Genomic DNA, 21,239 nt, shown 5'->3' on the forward strand with positions numbered 1-21,239 from the left:
TACCTCCCACCAGGCCCCATCTCCAACACTGGGGTTTACATCTCAACATGAGATTTGGAGAGGATATCCAAATGATATCCCTGTGTGCCCATCCCTGTTGTGCCCATCCAAGTTCCCGACCCACAGAACATGTTGGCCTAATAAAATTGTTGTTTTCAGCCACTAAGTTTGGAGTGGTTAAACAGCATCAGACGGCCATAACATCCTGCAATTTGGCAGAGCCTACAAGCTTCTGGGCCCAAGAGATACCTGTTTTACTCTAAAAAGATGGATGTATGTCACTTCTTGGCTGCTTAGCTTCCATATGCTCCTCCTAACTCTTTTGAGAATATCAGTTAAAATTCTCTTAATCTTCCCAGTAACATGGCCGATTAGATGGCCTAAACAGCCCTCTTAATAAAAAAACTAAAAATGCTGAAAAATTGCAAACATCTTTATAAACACACTGATGAGCAGGCATGAAAGTGAGGAATTTGTAAACATTTAAAAAAATAAAGTGAAATGGGCCAGGTGCAGTGGCTCATGCCTATAATCCTAGCACTCTGGGAGGCCGAAGAGGGTGGATTGCTTGAGCCCGAGTTTGAAACCAGCCTGGGCAACATGGTAAAACCCCATGTCTACAAAAAAATACAAAAAGTAGCCAGACATGGTGGTGCATGCCTGTAGTCCCAGCTACTCTTGAGGCTGAGATGGGAGGACTACGTGAGCCCAGGAGGTGGAGGTTGCAGTGAGCTGAGAGCATGCCACTGCATTCTGGCCTGGCTGACACAGCCAGAGCCTGTCTCAAAAAATAAATAAAGTGAGAGCTAGAATTCTGAGAATCGAGCAACAAACCTGACTTTTAGACTGCTAAATCCTAGAGCACATAAACTTCCACTTTGGCAGCTACCTGGAAGCGGTAAAGACAAAGCCTAGGGCCTGCCAGTGGGTGGGGAATATTCTAGAAGGAAACACTTTCAGGACCCCAGTTTCCACCCTCAGTATAAGGCTAAATAATAAAAACCACCACACAGAAGGGAACAAAAAAAAAAAAGTATTTCTCTTATGGATGTTGTGACTTTAATCAAGCTCTAATCTCCTAGGAAGGTCCAAACCCCTTAGTACAACACAAAGGCAGCCACAACCTGGCCTTACCTCAAGATAGTTATTGGCCCCTAAACCTCATCCACAAGGCATTCATTTTGCTACTAATTATTTTCACTTTTATCCTCTAGACTATGCCTTTGCATGTACTATTCACTGTTTAGATCACACTTTTTTTTTCTTAAGTATTTAAGTATACCAGTGAAAGGAATCCTTTCCCACCTTTCCCGGCCATAGTTAATAGCTTCCTCCATTGTACTCTCATAGTATGTTGAATGTGACATAATTATAGAACATACTGCCTCTATTGTGATTTTACATTCTGATTTTTTCCATTGGACCAAGAGTTCATTTGGGGCAGTAACTTACTCATATTTGTAACTGTGCCTTGCTTATGGTGAGCAATTTGGATTTTTTGAATGAAAGTGTAGTCTTATGGAGATGGAGAGTAGAAGGATGGTTAACAGACTGGGAAGGGTTGGCGGGGTGGGGAAGTGGGGATAGTTAATGGGTACAAAAAATAGAATAAGAAATAGTATAACTAGTATTTGATAGCACATCAGAGTAATTACAGCCAATAATATTGTATATTTTAAAGTAACTAAAAGAATATAACTGGATCGTTTGTAACACAAAGGACAAATGCTTGAGGTGATGGATATCCCATTTGTCCTGATGAGATTATTACTTATTGCATGCCTGTGTCAAAATATCTCAGGTGGCCCATAAATGTTCACACCTACTGTGTACCCACAAAAACTTAAAAAAAACCCAAACCACTAATAAATTAACCTGGAAAAACGTAGCTTTGTTCCTGAAGTAAGATTTTATCATATTCTTTGTAATTTTCAGTCTTCCCTGAGATGTAGCTCAGTGGTTCCTAGCTTTAGCTGCACATTAGAGTCACCTGCAGCTCTTTTCAAACTGTCGCTCCACAGCTGGGCCTCAGGCATCAATGTCGAAAGCTCTCCGGGTGATTCCAGCTTGCAGCCAGGGCCGTTCCAGCAACTCCAAGGCTGGCTGGTGTGCGCTGAAGCTGTCGGGAGTCGGACCAGCTGCACAGTTAATACATATGTGTCCTAGGCTCCTCTCTCCTTCCAACGCAAATATGTGTACAAACCCTGCCTGGAACCGCAGCCCTGCTCTCAGAATCAAATTCCTGAAAGTGGGCAAGCGGAAGCGGAAATAAGCCCTCTCCCAACGCCAGCTGACTCGATTTCGTCTCGGTCTTCCCCAGAGCTGGACACGAGGCACCATGATCAGAGAGACACATTCCCTGCGGACGGCGCTCCCATCGGATACTGGAGGGACGCGACACTAGAGGCAGGCAGTACTTCAGGGTGACCATAAGTCTCCCAAACAGCCACAACGGCTCGCTCTCCCAGCTAAGGCGACAGCGCTGCCATTTTGGATCCTGTTCAGCCACGGGAAGCCGGCGTTTGCACACATTTTCGGACGTCATATTAAAGCGCACCGGACGCCGAGACTTCTGGGAGATGAAGTCCTTGCGAAGGCCCCGCATTGATTGGGAGCGCAGTCGCCAGGACCCTGTGCGCAGGCGCGTTGGTTTCCCGACCTGAAGAGGCGCCGTCTTCCCGGGTCCCGAGCACTCTGTGCCGGAGGTGAGGGTTGTGGGTGTGTGTCTTCAAGGAGCGGAGTGAGCGCAGCAGCCGAGAGAGGGGACATGAGAACTTTGGGGAGGTGCTGTGGGAGCAAAACGGGGTGACACGGGCGAGGCCAGCCTGCAGAGCGTGTGTCGCGACGTCTCGGTGCGGACGGAAAGTTGTGCATCCACCCCCGTGTGTGCGTGTGTCCCGTGGGGTCTGGGCACCCATTGTATGTCGGTCCCGGACTTTAAGGTTGGAGGTTTGGAGTCTTCCTCCGCCTCTCCCGTTTCTTCTTCCCATAATGGGTGCTTAATGAACGTGGGTGGAATTGACACCAAATCTAGGATGCTGCCGCTCCGTCTTTGCCAGACAGCGCCTCAGATTGCCTCATTTAGCTCCCTGCCCTGGGCCTCCGCACGAGTGCTGGAGGGCTTCATGGAGGAGGTGGGATTTGACGTGAAAGAAAAACAACAACAACAAAACAAAAACCACGAAAGAAGCAGCTAAGCGTTAGGCAGATTTGAGCTGGAGATAGTTTTTACAGAAATGCAGGAACAGTGGTAGACAAGGTTGAAGAAAAGGTACGCTGGGAGCCAGGGCCCGGGACTCAGAGAATCAGGACAAGACTCAGTAGGCAAGGTGGCTTATATAGGTGTGATCCAGGGACTGACACGAATGAAACTATTTGGAGACAGTTATTCTAGAGGTCACATTCAGGACTAGAGAGGGGAAAGGACCAGTAGCAGAGAGCTACTTAGGAATGTATGGTAGTTTTGGAGTAAGATGTTGTGGACTTGAATTATGGTGGTGGTAGTGAAAGGGAAGGATACAGATGACACTGCAAAAGAAGAGTCAAAAGGGCCTGGTGACTAGATTTGGGAGGAAAGAGAGTGAGGTAAGAGTTTGAATTTGGGACACCTGGGAGAACAATAAAACATCTGATACAAATGTAAAGCCAGGAAGAGGCGTTGATGTGTGGAATTGCCTAAAGGAAGATAGTTTTGAGGTGATGGTGGAACGCCTGATTTAAGGTTTGCAGTCATTTGGAAATGCAGGATGAGTCTGGAAGAATGCAATACAGTTGTATTGTAAAATTACAATACAATTACAGGACATGGACATCTGTAGAGTTTGAAAATGGAGCCCTGAATGTGGATGGACTTTCTGAGGGATGGCAAAAACGAAGAAAGTACAAAGACTGAGCTATGGGCAGCATCCATGTTTCCAGGGCAAAAGTGGGGAAAAAGAGTCACAGAAAGACAGCAATTTTAGTGGTTGGAAGAAAAGCTAGTGCAGTATCATAGCAGTTACAGTAACCACTTGAATAAGCAGAAGCTTGTCCGAACAGTGAAAAGCTACAGAGAAATAGATAATATGGCCGGGCACAGTGGCTCACGCCTGTAAGTCCCAGCACTTTGGGAGTCTGAGGCGGGCGGATCACGAGGTCAGGAGATCGAGACCATCCTGGCTAACACGGTGAAACCCCGTCTCTACTAAAAAAATACAAAAAATTAGCCGGGCGTGGTGGCGGGCGCCTGTAGTCCCGGCTACTCGGGAGGCTGAGGCAGGAGAATGGCATGAACCCGGCAGGCGGAGCTTGCAGTGAGCCAAGATTGCGCCACTGCACTCCAGCCTGGGTGACAGAGCGAGACTCAGTCTCAAAAAAAAAAAAAAAAAAAAAGAAAGAAATAGAGATAATAGGATCAGAAATGCATTGGTAGGCCAGGTGCGGTAGCTCATGCCTGTAATCCCAGCACTTTGGGAAGCCGAGGTGGGCAGATCACTTGACGTCAGGAGTTCAAGACCAGCCTGGCCAACATGGTGAAACCCCGTCTCTACAAAAATACAAAAATTAGCAGGGCATGATGGCGGGTGCCTGTAATCCCAGCTACTTGGGAGGCTGAGGTGGGAGAATCACTTGAGCCCGAGAGGTGGAGGTTGCAGTGAGCCGAGATGATGCCATTGCTCTTCAGCCTGGGCGACAAGAGTGAAATTCCGTCTCAAAAAAAAAAAAAAAAAGTAGTTTTCAAGCATGCCATTTCAGGTGTGTGAGGGGCAAAAGCTGAAAAACAGGGACTGGAGAAGAGTAAGTGGTAACAGTGTGGAGTCAGTAGGTTATTATTCTCCAAAAAGTTTGATCATGAAAGGACAACCTAAATGAGAACTGCTTTGCTAGAAGGAGGTCATGGGATTCAGTGAAAATAGTTTCAGGTAGAGGAGGCTTGTATGTCTTTGAAGATGTTGAAAGAAAGTGCTACTGGGGTGGAAAATGCTGGAAGAAAAAAAAAAAAAGACTGGGGTCTGGGCGCTGTGGCTCATGCCTGTAATCCCAGCACTGTGGGAGGCTGAGGCAGGCAGATCATGAGGTCAAGAGATTGAAACCATCCTGGCCAAAATGGTGAAACTCTGTCTCTACTAAAAATACAAAAATTAGCTGGGCATGGTGGCCCGCGCCTGTAGTCCCAGCTACTCAGGAGGCTGAGGCAGGAGAATCGCTTGAACCTGGGAGGCAGAGGTTGCAGTGAGCCAAGATCGTGCCATTGCACTCCAGCCTGGGCGACAGAGCCAGACTCCGTCTCAAAAAAAAAAAAAAAAAATACTGGGAAGTGCAGGGACAAATTCTGAGAGGAAGCAATGTGAAAAACAGTGGAACCCAGGGTATAGGACACAAAGGTAAAGTCCTGGAGACAGACATTTCTGTCTTGTTGACCTCACACATCTCGCTGCCCTAGCACATAACAGCTACTTGGTACATATTCATCAAATAGTGGGATGAGTGGATGGATTGCATTGGGCAGTAGAAAGGAAGAGAACTTTATTTGTTGAATGAACTGTATGATAAATGCTTTATATTAATGGTCTCACCATTTATAACTATGCTGTGAGTTAGGTGGTAAACAACTGTTGGCTTAAGTAACTCATCCAAGGCTTCATGGTTAATAATTCCATGCTTGTGGAATGCTTTCTACCATATAACCCTGCTTCCCTTGAAACTCATTCCTGGGAATCTTTGGTGTGGTAGAAGACAAAAGTTATGCGGAAATTGAATGGTACCCATGGAGGTTTGGAATAGCCATGTAGCTAAGATGGGAGCAGTAAAAGCTTTCTGGACGATGTCAAGGGCTCGTTTGAAGATATAGACTGAATTTAGGGGACATTTTCTCCAGTGATACTCTGAGATGCAGGGATAGGAAAAGAGAACACAGAAGTGGAGGTGGTTCTTGGCTAGCAGTAACTCCCTGTGAGTTTGGTGGATTTGAGAAGTCTTCAGTGTCAGTGAGCTTACTGAAGTGACTGCTGGTGGAGTCTAAACCTAATGGGGAGAGAAGTCTACGGATGAGGAGCACTTTGGGAGTATCCACTGGTTGTTTAATAACTGGGGAGCTTATATGTTCACCACCATTTGTAATTCGTTCAGTGCTCAGTTTAATTAAAGTTGTAATCTAATAAACAAAACTTTGAAAATTGTCTTTAAACATTTAACACTGAGCAGTTTCGACTGCAGTTTTGGATATGGTTTGATTTGTTCAAAAAGCTCCAGTGCTTTAGACAAACATATACAAATACTTTGACTCCAAAGTTATTACTGCACTTACATTTAAACCTACTCTAAAATAGCAGCAACTCGGCCAGGCGCAGTGGCTCATGCCTATAATCTCAGCACTTTGGGATGCCAAGGTGGGGAGATCACCTGAGGTCAGGAGTTCAAGACCCGCCCGGCCAAGATGGTGAAACCCTCTACAAAAATACAAAAATTAGCCAGGCATGGTGGCAGGCACCTATAATCCCAGCTACTCAGGAGGCTGAGGCAGGAGAATCGCTTGAACCGGGGAGGCAGAGGTTGCAGTGAGCCGAGATAATGTCATTGCACTCCAGCCCGGGAGACAGAGCGAGACCCTGTCTCAAAAAAAACAAACAAAAAAATGCAACAACTCAGTGTAATTAATATTTTCAGTGTGTCTACCTTCCTAGAATTATAACATTACTTATTACATTACATTAGCTTATACTAACTTTACTTAGCACATTATTCTAAATGTGTTACATGTGTTACCCTATTTAAGCATCAAGATAACTGCAAGAGATATTACTTCCGTTATTCCAGTTTTGCAAACAGGCAGACTGAGACAGGTTAAGAAACTTTCCTGAGGTAGCACCGGTAGGAAGAGGCAGAGGTGGATTTTGATTTCAGGCAGTCTGTCTCCAGAGCCTGTACTCCCAATGACTACACTTTCCTGTATCTCTAAATGCTAATTTTGACTTATTTCTAGGGCCTAAGGGTAATATTTGGATACCCTCTTGTGATGGACGAATCTTAACAGACCAAAAAGGAAAAGAATACTTTTAGACAATACACGTTGCATGCTCTGGTTATCAATTGACATGTCTTTGTTTCTGTTTGTGTTTATATCTGCCTCCTCCCAGCAAGATTCAAACCCTAATCTCTCCCCGTTAGGTTGGGGGTGTTTTTTGTTTATTAGTTTTTGCTTATACTTAGCTAAACTTGTTTTTCCAATAAGTTTTTGCTTTTCACGTAGTTTTTGCAAACTGGTATTCACCCTCAAGGTAATATTCTTTTAAAATTTTGCTTGGCCAGTGTGAACCCATTGTTAAATAACCCTGAGCTGTCTGGCAACTTTTAACTCTAAGCTATAATGATTTATTTTCATGAAAAGATAGCATAGGTAACAGACCAATAGACTAGAACAGAAAATCCCCGAATATCCAAGAATATGATAGACCTGTTATAGAATAGAGTTAAATGCTACCAAACAGACCAGTAAATATCTATTGATCTGGTCTTTTGACATTTTTGAAAACTTAGTTGTTCCTTATTTTTGTGTTTGATTCATAAGTCTAGCTGTAGGGAGACATATCCTAAGGGAGAAAGGATGAAGTCTGCACAGTTACTATGCTTCTTTGGAAGCAGAGGTTGGTTCATTGTTAGTAGAGCCCATTTCTCTTTCTACTTGATACTTACGTGTGGCCCCAGTACTGATTAGTCCTCCCTGTTTGGGGTATGTAGTTCTGTATCTAGAATTACCTGGTTTATTCCCATTCCAAATTTCTTTTTACATACTTATATGAGTAGATACAAGTATCTATCCTGAGGGTACATCTATAGTCATACAATTAATAGAAAAAAGTACCTTTTTATGTAAGTAAAGTTTTAAACATTGCCTTCCTTGTATTACAACTTTTATGGCATATTTTATATTAACTTTTCTATTTTGAATATGAAACTCATAGTCCTTCAAAGTTCAAATTATTTTATTTAGCGCTAGTGATTTTTATTATTTATCTGGCCAGTGGGAGCCAGAGTCATCTGAGTTTTCTTATTCAAAGATGTGGGGTCGGCTCAAATTCTGAATGTCCAAAACTGTACTCATTGGTTTTCCCTTCAGTCCTTCTCTGTACCTTATCTCCATGAACGGCATCGTTATCCATGCCGCATTGGTAACCCGGGCGTCATCTTTGCCCTCATCACCTTCAGCCTCTTCTTCCAGCCAGTGTATTGTCTGTTTTTCTTCTTCTTCTTTTTTTTTTTTTTCCCCGACTCAGAGTCTTGCTCTGTCACCCAGGCTAGAGTGCAGTGGTGTGATCTCGGCTCACTGCAACCTTTGCCTCCCGGGTTTGAGCGATTCTCCTGCCTCAGCCTCCCAAGTAGCTGGGATTACAGGTGCCTGCCACGGTGCCTGGCTAATTTTTGTATTTTTAGTAGAAACAGGGTTTCACCATCTTGGCCAGGCTGGTCTTGAACTCCTGACCTCGTGATCCACCCGCCTCGGCCTCCCAAAGTGCTGAGATTACAGGCGTGAGCCACCGCACCCAGCCTGTCTGTTCTTAATAGCTTGACAGCAGTTTCCAACATTTCTGCTTTCACAGCTTTCATTCAGTTTGTCATCTTTCTTATTTAATTATAACACTCTCCTCAATGGTCTACTCACCTCCATTCTTTCCTTCCTGTAATCCCATCACACCACAGCCACTCAGTGTGGCGTGGCCACCTGTGTTGGGGTCCCCAGGATCACCCCAGGTTCAGGGATTCACTAGAAGGACTCAAGACTCGACCCATAGTTGTACTTCTGGCTAAGAGTATGATGATGACCCTGCAAGGATAGGCAGCCAGATCATAAGGGGAAAAGACAAGCCGGGTAGAGGAATCCGTATATAGGCTTGCTTCTATTCTCTTTCTCCCATGTGGGTGTCACATGGAGCACACTCCTTCCCCCAGCAACGAAAATGCAGCAACAAGTGTGATGTCTCTGCTCAAGGAAGCTCATTGGAGACTCAGAGCCCATGTTTTTTATTGAGGGCTAAGTCACATAGGCACCGTCTGCCTAACACATACCAAAATTCCAGACCCTCCAATAGGAGAGCACATGTTCACCATAAACGACATTGTTTGCACAAATAGTTTAGGCATAGTAGACCACCGTTATCTCTTAGGGAACTGGGGAACCCTCTCAAAATCGAAGTTTCCAGCTGCCAGCGAAGGGCCAGCATGCAAGCAGAACTTTCTAGGAATAGCAGTCTCAGGTCTGCTGTGACTTTTCTGCACACCACCCTTCTTTCCTTCCTGTTATTTTTTTCTGTACACCAAAATAAGGACTTACTCTTGTTGAAAAAAATATATGAAGAATGGTAAGAAAATAAAAATAACTTATAACTCACCACTCAAATTTCATTTACATTTTATTATGTGTTTTTCCTTTTTCTATACATAATGTGCATGTACAAATATGTAATTTTAAAAGTGTGCATTCTTCAAGTGTTTTGAATTTCTTTGTGGTTTTTTTTTTTTTTTTTAGATGGAGTCTCACTCTGTCACCCAGGCTGGAGTGCAGTGGCGTGAGCTCAGCTCACTGCAACCTCTGCCTTCTGGGTTCAAGCAATTCTCCTGCCTCAGCCTCCAGGGTAGCTGGCACTACAGCCACGTGCCATCATGCCTGGCTAATTTTTGTATTTTTAGTAGAGACGGGATTTCACCATGTTGGCCAAGCTGGTCTTGAACTCCTAACCTCAAGTGATCCACACGCCTCGGTCTCCCAAAGTGCTGGGATTACAGGTGTGAGCCACTGCACCTGGCCGTTCTTTGTGGTTTTTTTTCAGTTGTTGATTTTTTTTTTTTTTGTAAGAAACAAAGCATTACAGATAAAGCTGAAGTATCCTGGGTATCCTTCCCCAGTCTTATTTCCCTTTCTTCTCAGATATGTACACATTTGCTGCTTATTGTCCCATGTGTTAATAGATTTTTGTAGGTATTATTTACCTGTTTTTAAATTTTATGTAAATATTATACAGTAAGTCATTCTATAACTTATTTTTTGCCCAGTAATTATGTTTTTGTAATTTATCTCTGTTAACATGAGATAATGTATAATATTCATATATAATGTATAATACACATATTCATATATAATATTCATATATGAGATAATGTATATATATTCACAAATCCTTTATCTGATTAATGGACATTGAAGTTGTTTGCAGTTTATCACTAGTGATCTTCTCCCCAGTGACTTGTAATGCCACCTCAGTCATACATCAGGCTTCCCTAATGTTTGGATATGTTTTGGGATTTTCTGTTCTAGTCTATTGGTCTGTAATTGATGTGGCTATCTTTTCATGAAAATAAATCATGGTAGCATGAAAGTTAAAACCTCCCAGGCAGACATGGTTTCAAGTTCTACCTCAGATTCTTACAAAGCCTTAATTTCCTAATCTGTAAAATAGTGCCTACCTTATTGATTTATGAGGATGGAGTTAAATTAGCCTTATAAAAAGCACTTAGCACAGTACCTGGCAAATAGAAAATACTCAATAATGCTAGTTGTTATTAAGATGATGGGTTTTTTTGTTTTGGTTTGGTTTGTTTGAGATGGAGTCTTGCTCTGTCGCCAGGCTGGAGTGCAGTGGCACGATCTTGGCTCACTGCAACCTCCGCCTCCCAGGGTCAACCAATTCTCCTGCCTCAGCCTCCCAAGTAGCTGGGACTAAAGGCACACGCCACCACGCCCAGCTAATTTTTTTGTATTGTTAGTAGAGACTGGGTTTCACCATTTTGGCCAGGATGGTCTCCATCTCTTGACCTCATGATCCGCATGTCTTGGCCTCCCAAAGTGCTGGGATTACAGGCGTGAGCCACCGTGCCAGGCCAAGATGATGTTTAATAGTGTTCCATTATATGTATGGACTGGGCCATAAATTATTTAACCAAGTCTCCAGATGTTTAAGGTATTTCAAATTTTTGCTGCCTTATTGAAAAGATTAAATGAGATAATACATATAAAGTGCTTAGGAAGTGCCCTGGAACATAGCTGTCAATAAGGGTTAGTGTTAATGATGAGTCATAAAAAGCTGTGTATATATCATATATCATTACTTATTTCCTAGTATAAATTCCTAGGAGAGAATTGCTGGGTCAAACAGTATGTTTCAAGGCCCTTGCTATAAGTCACAGTGATTTTTTAAAGCACGGATGTGATGACATGTCCACACCCAAATCCTTCAGTAATCTCCATGCCTGTGGAGAAAGGGCCATGCAAAGCTCTCCTCGATGAAACTGGCCTCTGCCTACCTCTTTTCCCTCATCTTCCCCACAGCACTGCTCACAGCCTAGACTTCTACCATTCTAAGCTAATTTTTGTTGTTAATCCTTTCCATGTAAAGACCTGCCTCCTTCTTTTTGAAAAACTTGAGGTTTTTTTCTCAAGATTTAGAATGTTCTAGCTCCTCCCACAAATGAAAACTTAGCTTAGATCCCACTCCTGTCAAGAAAGCTGCAGAGTTCCTCCTTCCATCCCTCCCTGCTGGGTTAGGTGAGCCTCTGAGGTGCTCTCATGGATTGCTGTGCATATCGCTTTGCTGCTCTTAATGCATCCTGGAGTGAAATATTATCTCATTTACTTGTTTGTTCTCTGTGCTAAGCTATAGCTTCTGGAGGACAAAGACAGTGTCTGACAGTTTTTCTGTGCTTGATGTAAGTAGTTGGTGCTGAATAAATGCTGGTTGAATAGAAGGATGAATGAATGAGTCACAAGAAGCAGTGACCATATCCCCTTGACTGTTGGAGAATGGTCAGTGCACCGCAAATATGCCTTTTCCTCCTCCTCACCAGGACCACACCATCTCCCAGCCACCATAAATCCCAGAAATGTGGGATTTAATGCTCTTGTTTTATTTTTATATTTTTTTATTTTTATAGAGACAGAGGTCTTGCTATGTTGCCCAGGCTGGTCTTGAGAACTCCTGGCCTCAAGTGATCCTTCCACCTCGGCTTCCCAAAGTGCTGGGATTACAGACATGTGCCACCGTGCCTGGTCTGTTGTTTTAATTAGACTCTTGATTGTGAAAAACTGAGACTTAGCTAATCCCAGTAAAGGGAATTAGTGATAAGATCTTGCACAGAGCCCAAGAGAGTTAGAGTATTATGGCAATCTATGAATAAATAAGGATGGTTTGCATGGAAATTGGAGCCCATGGGTGGTGCTAGGCGAGGTGAGGGCTTCCCCAGGAATTCTTAGGTCTTTGCGTCAGTGTTTCACCGCTGATGGGACTGCGCTGGGCTTCCCCCTGCCTGCCTCTGGTCCCGTGGTCTATTATGACCTTTTCTCTACCTTGTACCTCCCATGTGCCCATGGGTTCTGCTGCTGGTAACTTTGGTTCCCCGATCCTTGTGGCTGCTTCAGGACGTCCTTTCATGATATCCTTTCAGCTCGTCACCCACTTGTCCTGACATTTCTTAGTTCACATTCCCAAGGAAGGATGTCATCTTTTCAAGCCAGATCACATCTCAATCTACTAGTCATGTGTGCATTACCCACCTGTGGCCTAATCAGTGTGGCTCCGGGAATAAGACACAGGGTCACATGGTACAAAACCTGGCTGCCCAAGGGATGCTCCTTTAGCAAGGGCTATGAGTGGGGTATTTTTCCTTTGAAGAGACTGGATTGTCTTTGATATGTCTTGTCCATGTAGTCATTTATAAAATTGCTAATGGCTTTTGCCCAGTAATCATTCAGGGCAATATTGAATGTGAATTTTTACGTACTGTGTGAATCTTACACAGTTCTTGACTCTCAGGAACAGAACTCTGCCTCTAGCATCGTGGTAAAAACCACCACCACATTGTGGTCTAATTCGCAGTTCCATGGTTGTTGGCTCTAATTCTGGGGTGGTCTGGGATTGTTCCTGGCTTTGCTTTACTTAGACCCCCTTTTGTAAGGTATTGAGGATGACATATCCCCCTGGTATGTGCTTCATGGGTCAAAAGACTATGCGACAGGACTGGTCTTTCTCCTACCTTCTTTCTCACCCCCCACTTCTGCCTCATTAGGACTCTGCCCTTGTCCACAAGGAGAGCACACAGGAGAGAATGGCTGCTGTGTCTCCGACCACCAGATGCCAGGTGAGGTGGACTTTTGTGTTCCCGAAATACTCCATTCATCTCCAGAATGTAACCACTTTTCTTTCTCTATCCTGGAGCCTCTTTGAGCAGACCCAGCCAGGCAGATGAAGGACTCCACAGGGAGTATTTCTTTCCTATTTGACTTGAGGTATCCTTTAGTGACCTTTTCTTGCTGTGAGCATGTGCCCATTAGCTTGTCACCAGGCTTAACAACTCCTGGAGCCTTCACTGTGAGTGATTTTGCCTAGAAGCCAATGGTAGGGTCTGATTGGAAGGTTTGGGGAATAGTGGGCTGGTTCTGGTCCTGACAGTCCCTTTGGTACATTCATGTGTGGACTGAGAGGAGGCTCCAGTGTTCCAGGGAGTGTGGGGCTAGGCTGGGGCGTGTGATACACACTGTAGAGCACCTCTGTGGGGTGCTAAGAGCCCTGAAGAGAGTCTCCTGTGCTAGAGACTGTGTGGCTTGCTCCATTCCTGCCCGAGGGCAGAGTCTTAAATTCTGCATCCTGGCCTAGAACTTTTGCAGACACACTGGAGACTCATCTGAGGTTTTAGAACTGAAGGTAAAGAGATGCAATCTTACAGAATCACAGAGCATTAGAATGAAATGAGAGGGATCCTACAGATGATCTAATCAACACCATTATTCTAAGGATTTGTAAAAAAAAAAAGACAATTGGTGAAATTTGAGTAAGATTGTAGATTAGATAATAGTATAAGATCAATGCTATTTTCTCCATTTTTTATAGTTATACTGTGATTATAACAACAGTACATCCTTGTTTTTACAAAATACACACTGAAATATTTAGGATTAAAGACACATGATGTTGACAAGTTAGTCAAGAGGCCTAACAAAAAGATAGGAGAATGTGTATCTAGAGAGAGACAGAAAAATAAAGTAAATGTGGAAAATGTTGACAGTTGAGGAAGCCAGGTGAAGGGTACACAGGAATTTTTTTGTGCTGTTTTTAGAAGTCTGAAAAAAGAGTCTGATATTCAGAAGCTCAGCTGTAAGTATAGTGGTGTGAGATTCTGACCAAGAACTTCATGTCTTGGGTGATGAGGCCACTTTTCCCAAATGCTTTAAAGTTCTACTCAGTCAGAACTGTTTTTCTTTCCTCCCACCATGCGTCCTCCAGGGCTGTCATCTTTGACATTTTTGGTCTGGTCCAAGTAAAGAGAAGGATTAAGAGTAAGGGAGAATGTGATTGTATTTTCAGGAATCAGTGACATTCGAAGACGTTGCCGTGGTTTTCACAGATGAAGAGTGGAGTCGTCTGGTCCCCATACAGAGGGACCTCTACAAGGAGGTGATGCTGGAGAACTATAACAGCATTGTGTCATTGGGTAAGGGGAGCCTCCATGAGGAGGTACAGTCTGTACTATGCTAATGTGGGGCTGAGAGGGCTGAGGAATTAATACCGTTCTCCTCCCCGCTGAGTTCTGAGCCACCTGAGAGATAAAGTAAGAGTCGAAAGATGTGGCATCAGAGTACAGCAACGGCGGGCTCAATACTGAACCCCAGCATTGGGCAGACATGCCTCCCCAGCCATGGGCAGTGCTGGATGACCATAGGCTCTCTCGCTCAGCAGCCTGCCCGGCAAAATTCAGGGAGGGCCAGCGAGGGCTGAGGGACAGAGCGGAATGTGTGTTAGAGGCAGGGAGCTGGCGCTCCAGAGGGGCAGGCAGAAGACGCTGAGTTTCATATGCCCAGTTCTCCCAGTTCGCCAGTTAGGTAACTCAGCTCACCCAGAGGAGTGTGCGCTGGGGTAGGGGGCCATCTTGTCGGAATTCAGGGTTGTGCCTCTGAGGTCACCAGATATATGTTTGATTTTGAATATTTGTCTTAGGTACAGTCTTAGATGCTCACAGAAGACACTTTGTAATTATAGAGACTTGTGTGACAAAGAGAAAGTTAAGAGTCACTGCTGATTCTGGTGTTAGTGAAAAGTAAAGTTGGGCTCCTGGAGGTTATGAGAACCTTTCAGGAGCTTCACGAGAGGCTGAGAGAGTGCCCAGATTGAGAAACCGGCTTAAAATAAGCAGCAGATGGCAGTAAAAGGAGTCACATTGCAGATTTCCTACGAGGCAGGTCAAAAAGTAAGTGCTAACACCCCCCAGATTAACTTAATCAGGCCAATTGTCTCCCAAACAGAATGGAATATTCAGGAGGCATCAAAGGAGCATTTGTTACAGGCTTTAGTAGATGGCATATTGAGGAAAATAGAACCCCTGAGGTCAGGGACAGAGAGCCACAGGGAGATGCTGGGTGTGGCCGTTTTGTCAACAGAGAATCCACAGAAAACCCGGTAGACAATCCTTGGGCCCAATAAGAAAGTGCCTCTTTCCCAAGTTGGGGCCTCAGCAAAAGGGAAGTTTAGAGCCCAAGCCTATTTCCAGGATCTATTTTTTAATATAACCAAAAATGGATAGATTTGCTTCAGGGAATTTATCCTAAGGAAATAATAGGACTAGTAGTCCATGGTGTATGCAGATGTTCATCACACTATTGTTTGTTAATAGCAAAACGTTAAAAATGGTCTAAATTTCTATCATAAGGGAATTCATTAAATAAATTATGTTATCCATACAATGTCATATCCCGTAGCCATTACAATGGTGAGGTAGATCAGTACTGATATAAATAAAATGGTATTTTAAATTTATTGTGTGAAAAAAAATCAGCTTTACAAATCAGCGTCATTTCATTATCCAGGTTTGGTTTTTTTTGTTTTTTTTTTTTTTTTGAGACAGAGTCTCACTCTGTTGCCTAGGTTGGAGTGCAGTGATGCAATCTCGGCTCACTGCAACCTCTGTCTCCAGGGTTCAAGCAATTCTCGTGCCTCAGTCTCCCAAGTAGCTGGGATTACAGCCATGGGCCACCATGCCCTGCTAATTTTTGTATTTTTAGTAGAGACAGGGTTTCACCATGTTGGCCAGGCTGGTCTTGAACTCCTGACCTCAGGTGATCCACCCATCTCGGCCTCCCAAAGTGCTGGGATTACTGGCAGGAGCCACTGTGCCCAGCCTCATTATCCAGTTTTTAACAGAATGTATTTATGGGTGTCTTTGGATATCTGAATAGAAAGAAAGAAAATACACTGTAGGCAAGGTGATTTTTTCTTTTTGCTTGTATACACTTCTAATTTTCCTAGAATGCACCGGACAGACTTGTTTCAATGAAAGCACAATGTTCAAGGCAAACAAATAAACAAAAATGGGCAGTTTGGATACACTTTTTACTCAAGGTGACTTAATTTCATTCTCATCTCTCCTAAGCCAACGACCTTCATCCTACCAGTGCTAACACTGGGAACTTCCCATTCACTTCACAGGGAAGAATAAACACGTGAATCTACACGGGTTCTCTCAACCTTCTGACCTTGTGCCACTTGCTCCTTTTATAGCCTCAGTCCTGGCCTCCGTCCAGAGGTTCCTCTGCTTTGGACTCTGCATTCTTGGCTTGTGCGTTCTGCCTTTTGCATTTTCTCTCTAAAAGACTTAGATGCTGTGGCCAGGCTCAGTGGCTCATGCCTGTAATCCCAGCTCTTTGGGAGGCCGCGGCAGGTGGATCACCTGAGGTCAGGAGTTCGAAACCAGCGTGGCCATGATGGCAAAGCCCCATCTCTACTAAAAATACAAAAATTAGCCAGGTGTGGTGGCACCCGCCTATAATTCCAGCTACTTGGGAGGCTGAGGCAGGAGAATCACTTGAACCTGGGAGATGGAGGTTGCAGTGAGCCGAGATCAGGCCACAGCATTCCAGCCTGGGCGACAGAGTGAGATGCTGTCTCAACAACAACAAAAAAATCTTAGAGGCTGGGATTGAGCTTTGGGAGAGTGATATTATTTTCATCACACACAGCCACCTGCTTTGTTTCTTTCTCTTTGAGCAGGCCTTCCAGTTCCTCAACCTGATGTGATTTTCCAATTGAAGAGAGGGGACAAGCCGTGGATGGTAGATCTTCATGGGTCTGAGGAGAGAGAATGGCCAGAGAGTGTCTCTCTAGGTAACTGAGTGTGAACAAGACAGAATGGAATTTTGTTTGGCTTTTTGTTATTTGGGTGATGGGGGAAATAACAGGTATCATCTTTCTCTCAAATTCAAGTCTTCTGCTTTATTATTTATTGTATATCACCCAATAGCTTTTATTTTTTTCCCTCTACACCTTAACGTGTTATTCATCTATATTCACCAAGTGTTACTTTCTCACGTCTGTAACGTTGTGCACTCACACTTTGCTATTTCTTTTTTTTTTTTTTTTGAGACAGAGTCTCGCTCTGTTGCCCAGGCTGGAGTGCAATGGCGCTATCTCAGCTCACTGTAACCTCCACCTCCCAGGTTCAAGCGATTCTGCCTGCCTCAGCCTCCCAAGTAGCTGGGATTACAGGCACCCGCTACCACGCCTGGATAATTTTTGTATTTTAGTAGAGATGGGGTTTCGCCATGATGGCCATGCTGGTCTCGAACTCCTGACCTCAGGTGATCCGCCCACCTTGGCCTCCCAAAGTGCTAGGATTACAGGTGTGAGCCACCATGCCCAGCCACACTTTGCTATTGCTATTGAGTGCCATCCTGTCTATTCGGCATGCTCTCCTGATTGTCCTGGCCATGCTCCCACTGGACATTCTCCTGTTTTCTGAGGTGTCCACCATCCATTCTGTTCCCTGCCACCTTCTTCACTCCCAGGTCTTAGTCCCTCCCTGCCGTGTAAGACTATCTATGGGAGCAAGCAATGCAGTGACCATACATTACTTTCAGACTCATCGGAGCATCTCTTCTTTCTGTAATATTTCCTAGCCCAGGAAAAAAACTGCATCTGTTTTCTGTTTGTTCCAGACTGGGAAACTAAGCCTGAGATTCACGATGCTTCAGACAAAAAATCAGAAGGATCATTGAGGGAATGCCTTGGAAGGCAAAGTCCTCTGTGTCCTAAATTTGAAGTTCATACACCCAATGGCAGGATGGGAACAGAAAAGCAAAGCCCTTCAGGGGAGACTCGTAAGAAATCCCTCTCCCGGGACAAAGGCTTGCGGCGACGGTCAGCCCTGTCCAGGGAAATTCTCACTAAAGAGAGACACCAGGAATGCAGTGACTGTGGGAAGACCTTTTTTGACCACTCATCCCTCACCCGCCATCAGAGGACTCACACTGGGGAGAAGCCCTACGACTGCCGCGAGTGTGGGAAAGCCTTCAGCCACAGGAGCAGCCTCAGCAGACATCTGATGTCACACACTGGGGAGAGCCCCTACGAGTGCAGTGTGTGCTCAAAAGCCTTCTTTGACCGTTCGTCCCTAACTGTCCATCAGCGAATTCACACTGGAGAGAAACCCTTTCAGTGCAACGAGTGTGGAAAAGCCTTTTTTGACCGTTCATCCCTTACTCGACACCAGAGAATTCACACTGGAGAAAGTCCTTATGAATGTCATCAGTGTGGGAAAGCCTTTAGCCAGAAAAGTATTCTTACTCGCCATCAGCTAATCCACACTGGCAGGAAGCCTTATGAGTGTAACGAGTGCGGGAAAGCTTTCTATGGTGTCTCGTCTCTGAATAGACATCAGAAAGCTCATGCTGGGGACCCTCGCTATCAGTGTAACGAGTGTGGCAAAGCTTTCTTTGACCGCTCATCCCTTACACAGCATCAGAAGATCCACACTGGAGACAAGCCATATGAATGCAGCGAATGCGGGAAAGCCTTTAGCCAGCGGTGCCGGCTCACGCGGCATCAGCGTGTCCACACGGGAGAGAAGCCCTTTGAATGCACTGTGTGTGGGAAAGTTTTCAGTTCAAAATCTTCTGTTATTCAACATCAACGGCGTTACGCCAAACAGGGAATAGACTGAGTTGGGCAAAAGCTTGGGTAGGACAAGAACTTCCATACAAATTTGAGATAGATCTCGCCTGTCTTAAAGCTGCCATTTGCTCATTCTACCCACTCTGGCTGCCGTTGTCCTGTCCTGCTTCTGCGCCAGAGTGTTTAATAAGCACTCCCTTCCTGCTGTGTTATAGAACTGTAGGGGAGGCCATGGAAATGACTCTAAAGATACAAAATTTTGAAGAGGTTTGTCAGACAATAGGATAGATGTTAGGAGGAGACACACCTCTTGTCTGAGAACCTAGGCCCCAGGTATCACTGCACTTTAAGAAACTGGAGGCTGCAACAGGAGGGAAAGGCAGAATGATATCACAGCAGTACTATTTTTTTTTTTCAGAACATTTGTTTTGATGGCTGTTAGTCCCCCTCTCTTGGAGCATTTTGGGGCACTAATCTTGTTCTCTTGTGTCCCAGCTTTTAGACCTCTTACTTCCACTGCTAGTAGCTAGCACTTACTGAGCACCTGCGATGAGGTAAAGACTCAGCTAAGGGTTTTACAGGAAGTAGATTAATTGATCCTGTCACCAACCATATGAAGTAGGCACTGTTACCATCTGCATCTCCAGATGAGCACCCTGAGGTTTAGAGAGATTAAATCACTTGCCCAAGGTGAACCAGCTGGTAAAAGGTGATGCCAGGTCTTGAAGACAGGTCCACCTTCAAAATCTATTCTCTTTACCATTATGCTCGATGGTTTGTTTGTTTTATAATTTATGTATATGTATTATCCTCTCAACTAGATTGTAAGCACTTGGAGGTGTGACTTACAGGTCTTTGTATCTCACACAGTGCCTTGCTAATAGGTGCTCAATAAATATTTATATGAGTGAATGACTTTTCTACTTACCAAATTCTCTCCATTCAGAACACCTCTTGGATTTGCATACTTTCTCTGAATTCACAGCCCAGCCTATACTTTTATCATCCCCAGCTCCCACTCCTGGCAGCAGTAGCTTTCTAATTCCAGTTCTTCCTGCTTTATTGAAGAGGGATGTGCTAAGCTGTGGTACAGTAACAAGCCCGCAGAGAGCTATGTCTCCCTTAAAACCTGACGGGAACCATTCTGTCTTATTCTATCCTCATTATTTGGAACATCTGGCTTCCAAAGTCACCACAAGGGCGGAAGAGAAAGCTAGAGGAATTTGTAGGATATTTTCTTAGACCCAGGCTTACATCACTTCTGTCCACATCTAATAAGCCAGAACCCAGCACCTAGAAGCTAGGAAAGTAAACAAGCACCTCGAAAGTTGGTTAATACCAAGAACCTCTCTCACAGTTATATTTTGCATACTACTGTTAAGCCAGTCTTTGCAAATGACCCCTTCCTGCCCATCACTGCCTTCCTCAAGACCTAAAATAGCTCCCTATTTAGTGAAAAATTATCTGAATATTTAAGGTCTGCCTTAACGTGATCCCCATTGCTGAATTTTACCTCCTGACTCCAAAAACTCTTCTCTTCCCTGGGCCCAGTCCTATTTTTTTTTTTTTTTTTTTTTTTGTGAGACAGAGTCTCACTCTGTCACCCAGGTTGGAATGCAATGGCACAATCTCCGCTCACTGCAAGCTCCGCCTCCCGGGTTCACGCCATTCTCCTGCCTCAGCCTCCCGAATAGCTGGGACTACAGGTGCCCGCCAACACGCCCGGCTAATTTTTTGTATTTTTAGTAGAGACGGGGTTTCACCGTGTTAGCCAGGATGGTCTCAATCTCCTGACCTCGTGATCCGCCCGCCTCGGCCTCCCAAAGTGCTGGGATTACAGACGTAAGTCACCGTGCCCGGCCTATATTTTTATTTTATTAAAGGTTAGGCACTAGATGACCTTGACTCTAGGCATCTGCATTCTCTTGATCTTTGCTTAGGGTGAAGCTCAGAAAAGGACTTGGTTCTGAAAGGCTGTCTGGAATTAGATTGTCCTACGTGATTCCCAGTGAATTGAGATGAATTTCCTCTGGAAGTTCAAGTCGGATTCGAGAAGCTGAATTACCAAACAGACCCTCCCCAACCTACTAACGACCCTATTACTCTGTTCACCCTAGAGCAGACGAACGGCAGGGAAGACTTGATCTGTGGACTTTTGAAAGCAACTTGAGGAAAAACACATAACAGAATCTATAGGTGTGGACAATATGTGATATTGCTAAATAATGTCAAGTAGGAAATAAAAGAGACTATTGACAAACTTTTGGCTGATGACTGTCCCTGGGAGTTCTGAATTTTTACTGCCTTGTTAAAAGTAAATTGAGGGTCAGGTATTTC

General features: G+C 44.4%; 1 protein-coding gene across 5 annotated transcripts, besides 4 other annotated features; it reads left to right on the forward strand.

The window, feature by feature from the left end:
• Window positions 1,642–2,278: an enhancer, noted in NCBI's record as "H3K27ac hESC enhancer chr2:95830542-95831178 (GRCh37/hg19 assembly coordinates)". NCBI's record gives its function as "activates a minimal SCP1, AML or CMV promoter by ChIP-STARR-seq in primed H9 embryonic stem cells {active_cell/tissue: H9 hESC(primed)}" and the evidence as "EXISTENCE:reporter gene assay evidence [ECO:0000049][PMID:30033119]".
• Window positions 2,279–2,913: an enhancer, noted in NCBI's record as "H3K27ac hESC enhancer chr2:95831179-95831813 (GRCh37/hg19 assembly coordinates)". NCBI's record gives its function as "activates a minimal SCP1, AML or CMV promoter by ChIP-STARR-seq in primed H9 embryonic stem cells {active_cell/tissue: H9 hESC(primed)}" and the evidence as "EXISTENCE:reporter gene assay evidence [ECO:0000049][PMID:30033119]".
• Window positions 2,341–2,770: an enhancer, noted in NCBI's record as "active region_16182". NCBI's record gives its function as "activates an Ori minimal core promoter by ATAC-STARR-seq in GM12878 lymphoblastoid cells {active_cell/tissue: GM12878}" and the evidence as "EXISTENCE:reporter gene assay evidence [ECO:0000049][PMID:35858748]".
• ZNF2 (zinc finger protein 2) lies at window positions 2,654–21,162 on the forward strand. 5 transcript variants are annotated; one of them, NM_001291605.2, is made up of 5 exons: window positions 2,654–2,705; window positions 13,033–13,104; window positions 14,328–14,454; window positions 17,004–17,117; window positions 17,909–21,162. In NM_001291605.2, exons 2-5 carry the CDS (start codon window positions 13,072–13,074, stop codon window positions 18,949–18,951), a joined length of 1,317 nt encoding a protein of 438 aa, NP_001278534.1. In that variant the 5' UTR covers window positions 2,654–2,705; window positions 13,033–13,071; the 3' UTR covers window positions 18,952–21,162. The 5 variants fall into 5 exon arrangements, with proteins under 5 accessions (NP_001278534.1, NP_066574.2, NP_001269327.1 ...); NM_021088.4 differs by having other exon boundaries at window positions 17,948–21,162; NM_001282398.2 differs by lacking the exon at window positions 17,004–17,117 and having other exon boundaries at window positions 17,948–21,162.
• Window positions 14,743–15,243: an enhancer, noted in NCBI's record as "H3K4me1 hESC enhancer chr2:95843643-95844143 (GRCh37/hg19 assembly coordinates)". NCBI's record gives its function as "activates a minimal SCP1, AML or CMV promoter by ChIP-STARR-seq in naive H9 embryonic stem cells {active_cell/tissue: H9 hESC(naive)}" and the evidence as "EXISTENCE:reporter gene assay evidence [ECO:0000049][PMID:30033119]".

Source organism: Homo sapiens, chromosome 2 (assembly GCF_000001405.40).
Source record: "Homo sapiens chromosome 2, GRCh38.p14 Primary Assembly".
NCBI lineage: Eukaryota > Metazoa > Chordata > Mammalia > Primates > Hominidae > Homo > Homo sapiens.

Excerpts from the sequence above, each read along its gene's own strand:
- ZNF2 (NM_001291605.2), top strand. The coding sequence starts at position 13,072 with ATGGCTGCTGTGTCTCCGACCACCAGATGCCAG. Across the intron at positions 14,455-17,003 it reads TAACAGCATTGTGTCATTGG|GCCTTCCAGTTCCTCAACCT; the intron begins GTAAGGGGAGCC and ends CTCTTTGAGCAG. Across the intron at positions 17,118-17,908 it reads GCCAGAGAGTGTCTCTCTAG|CCCAGGAAAAAAACTGCATC; the intron begins GTAACTGAGTGT and ends AATATTTCCTAG.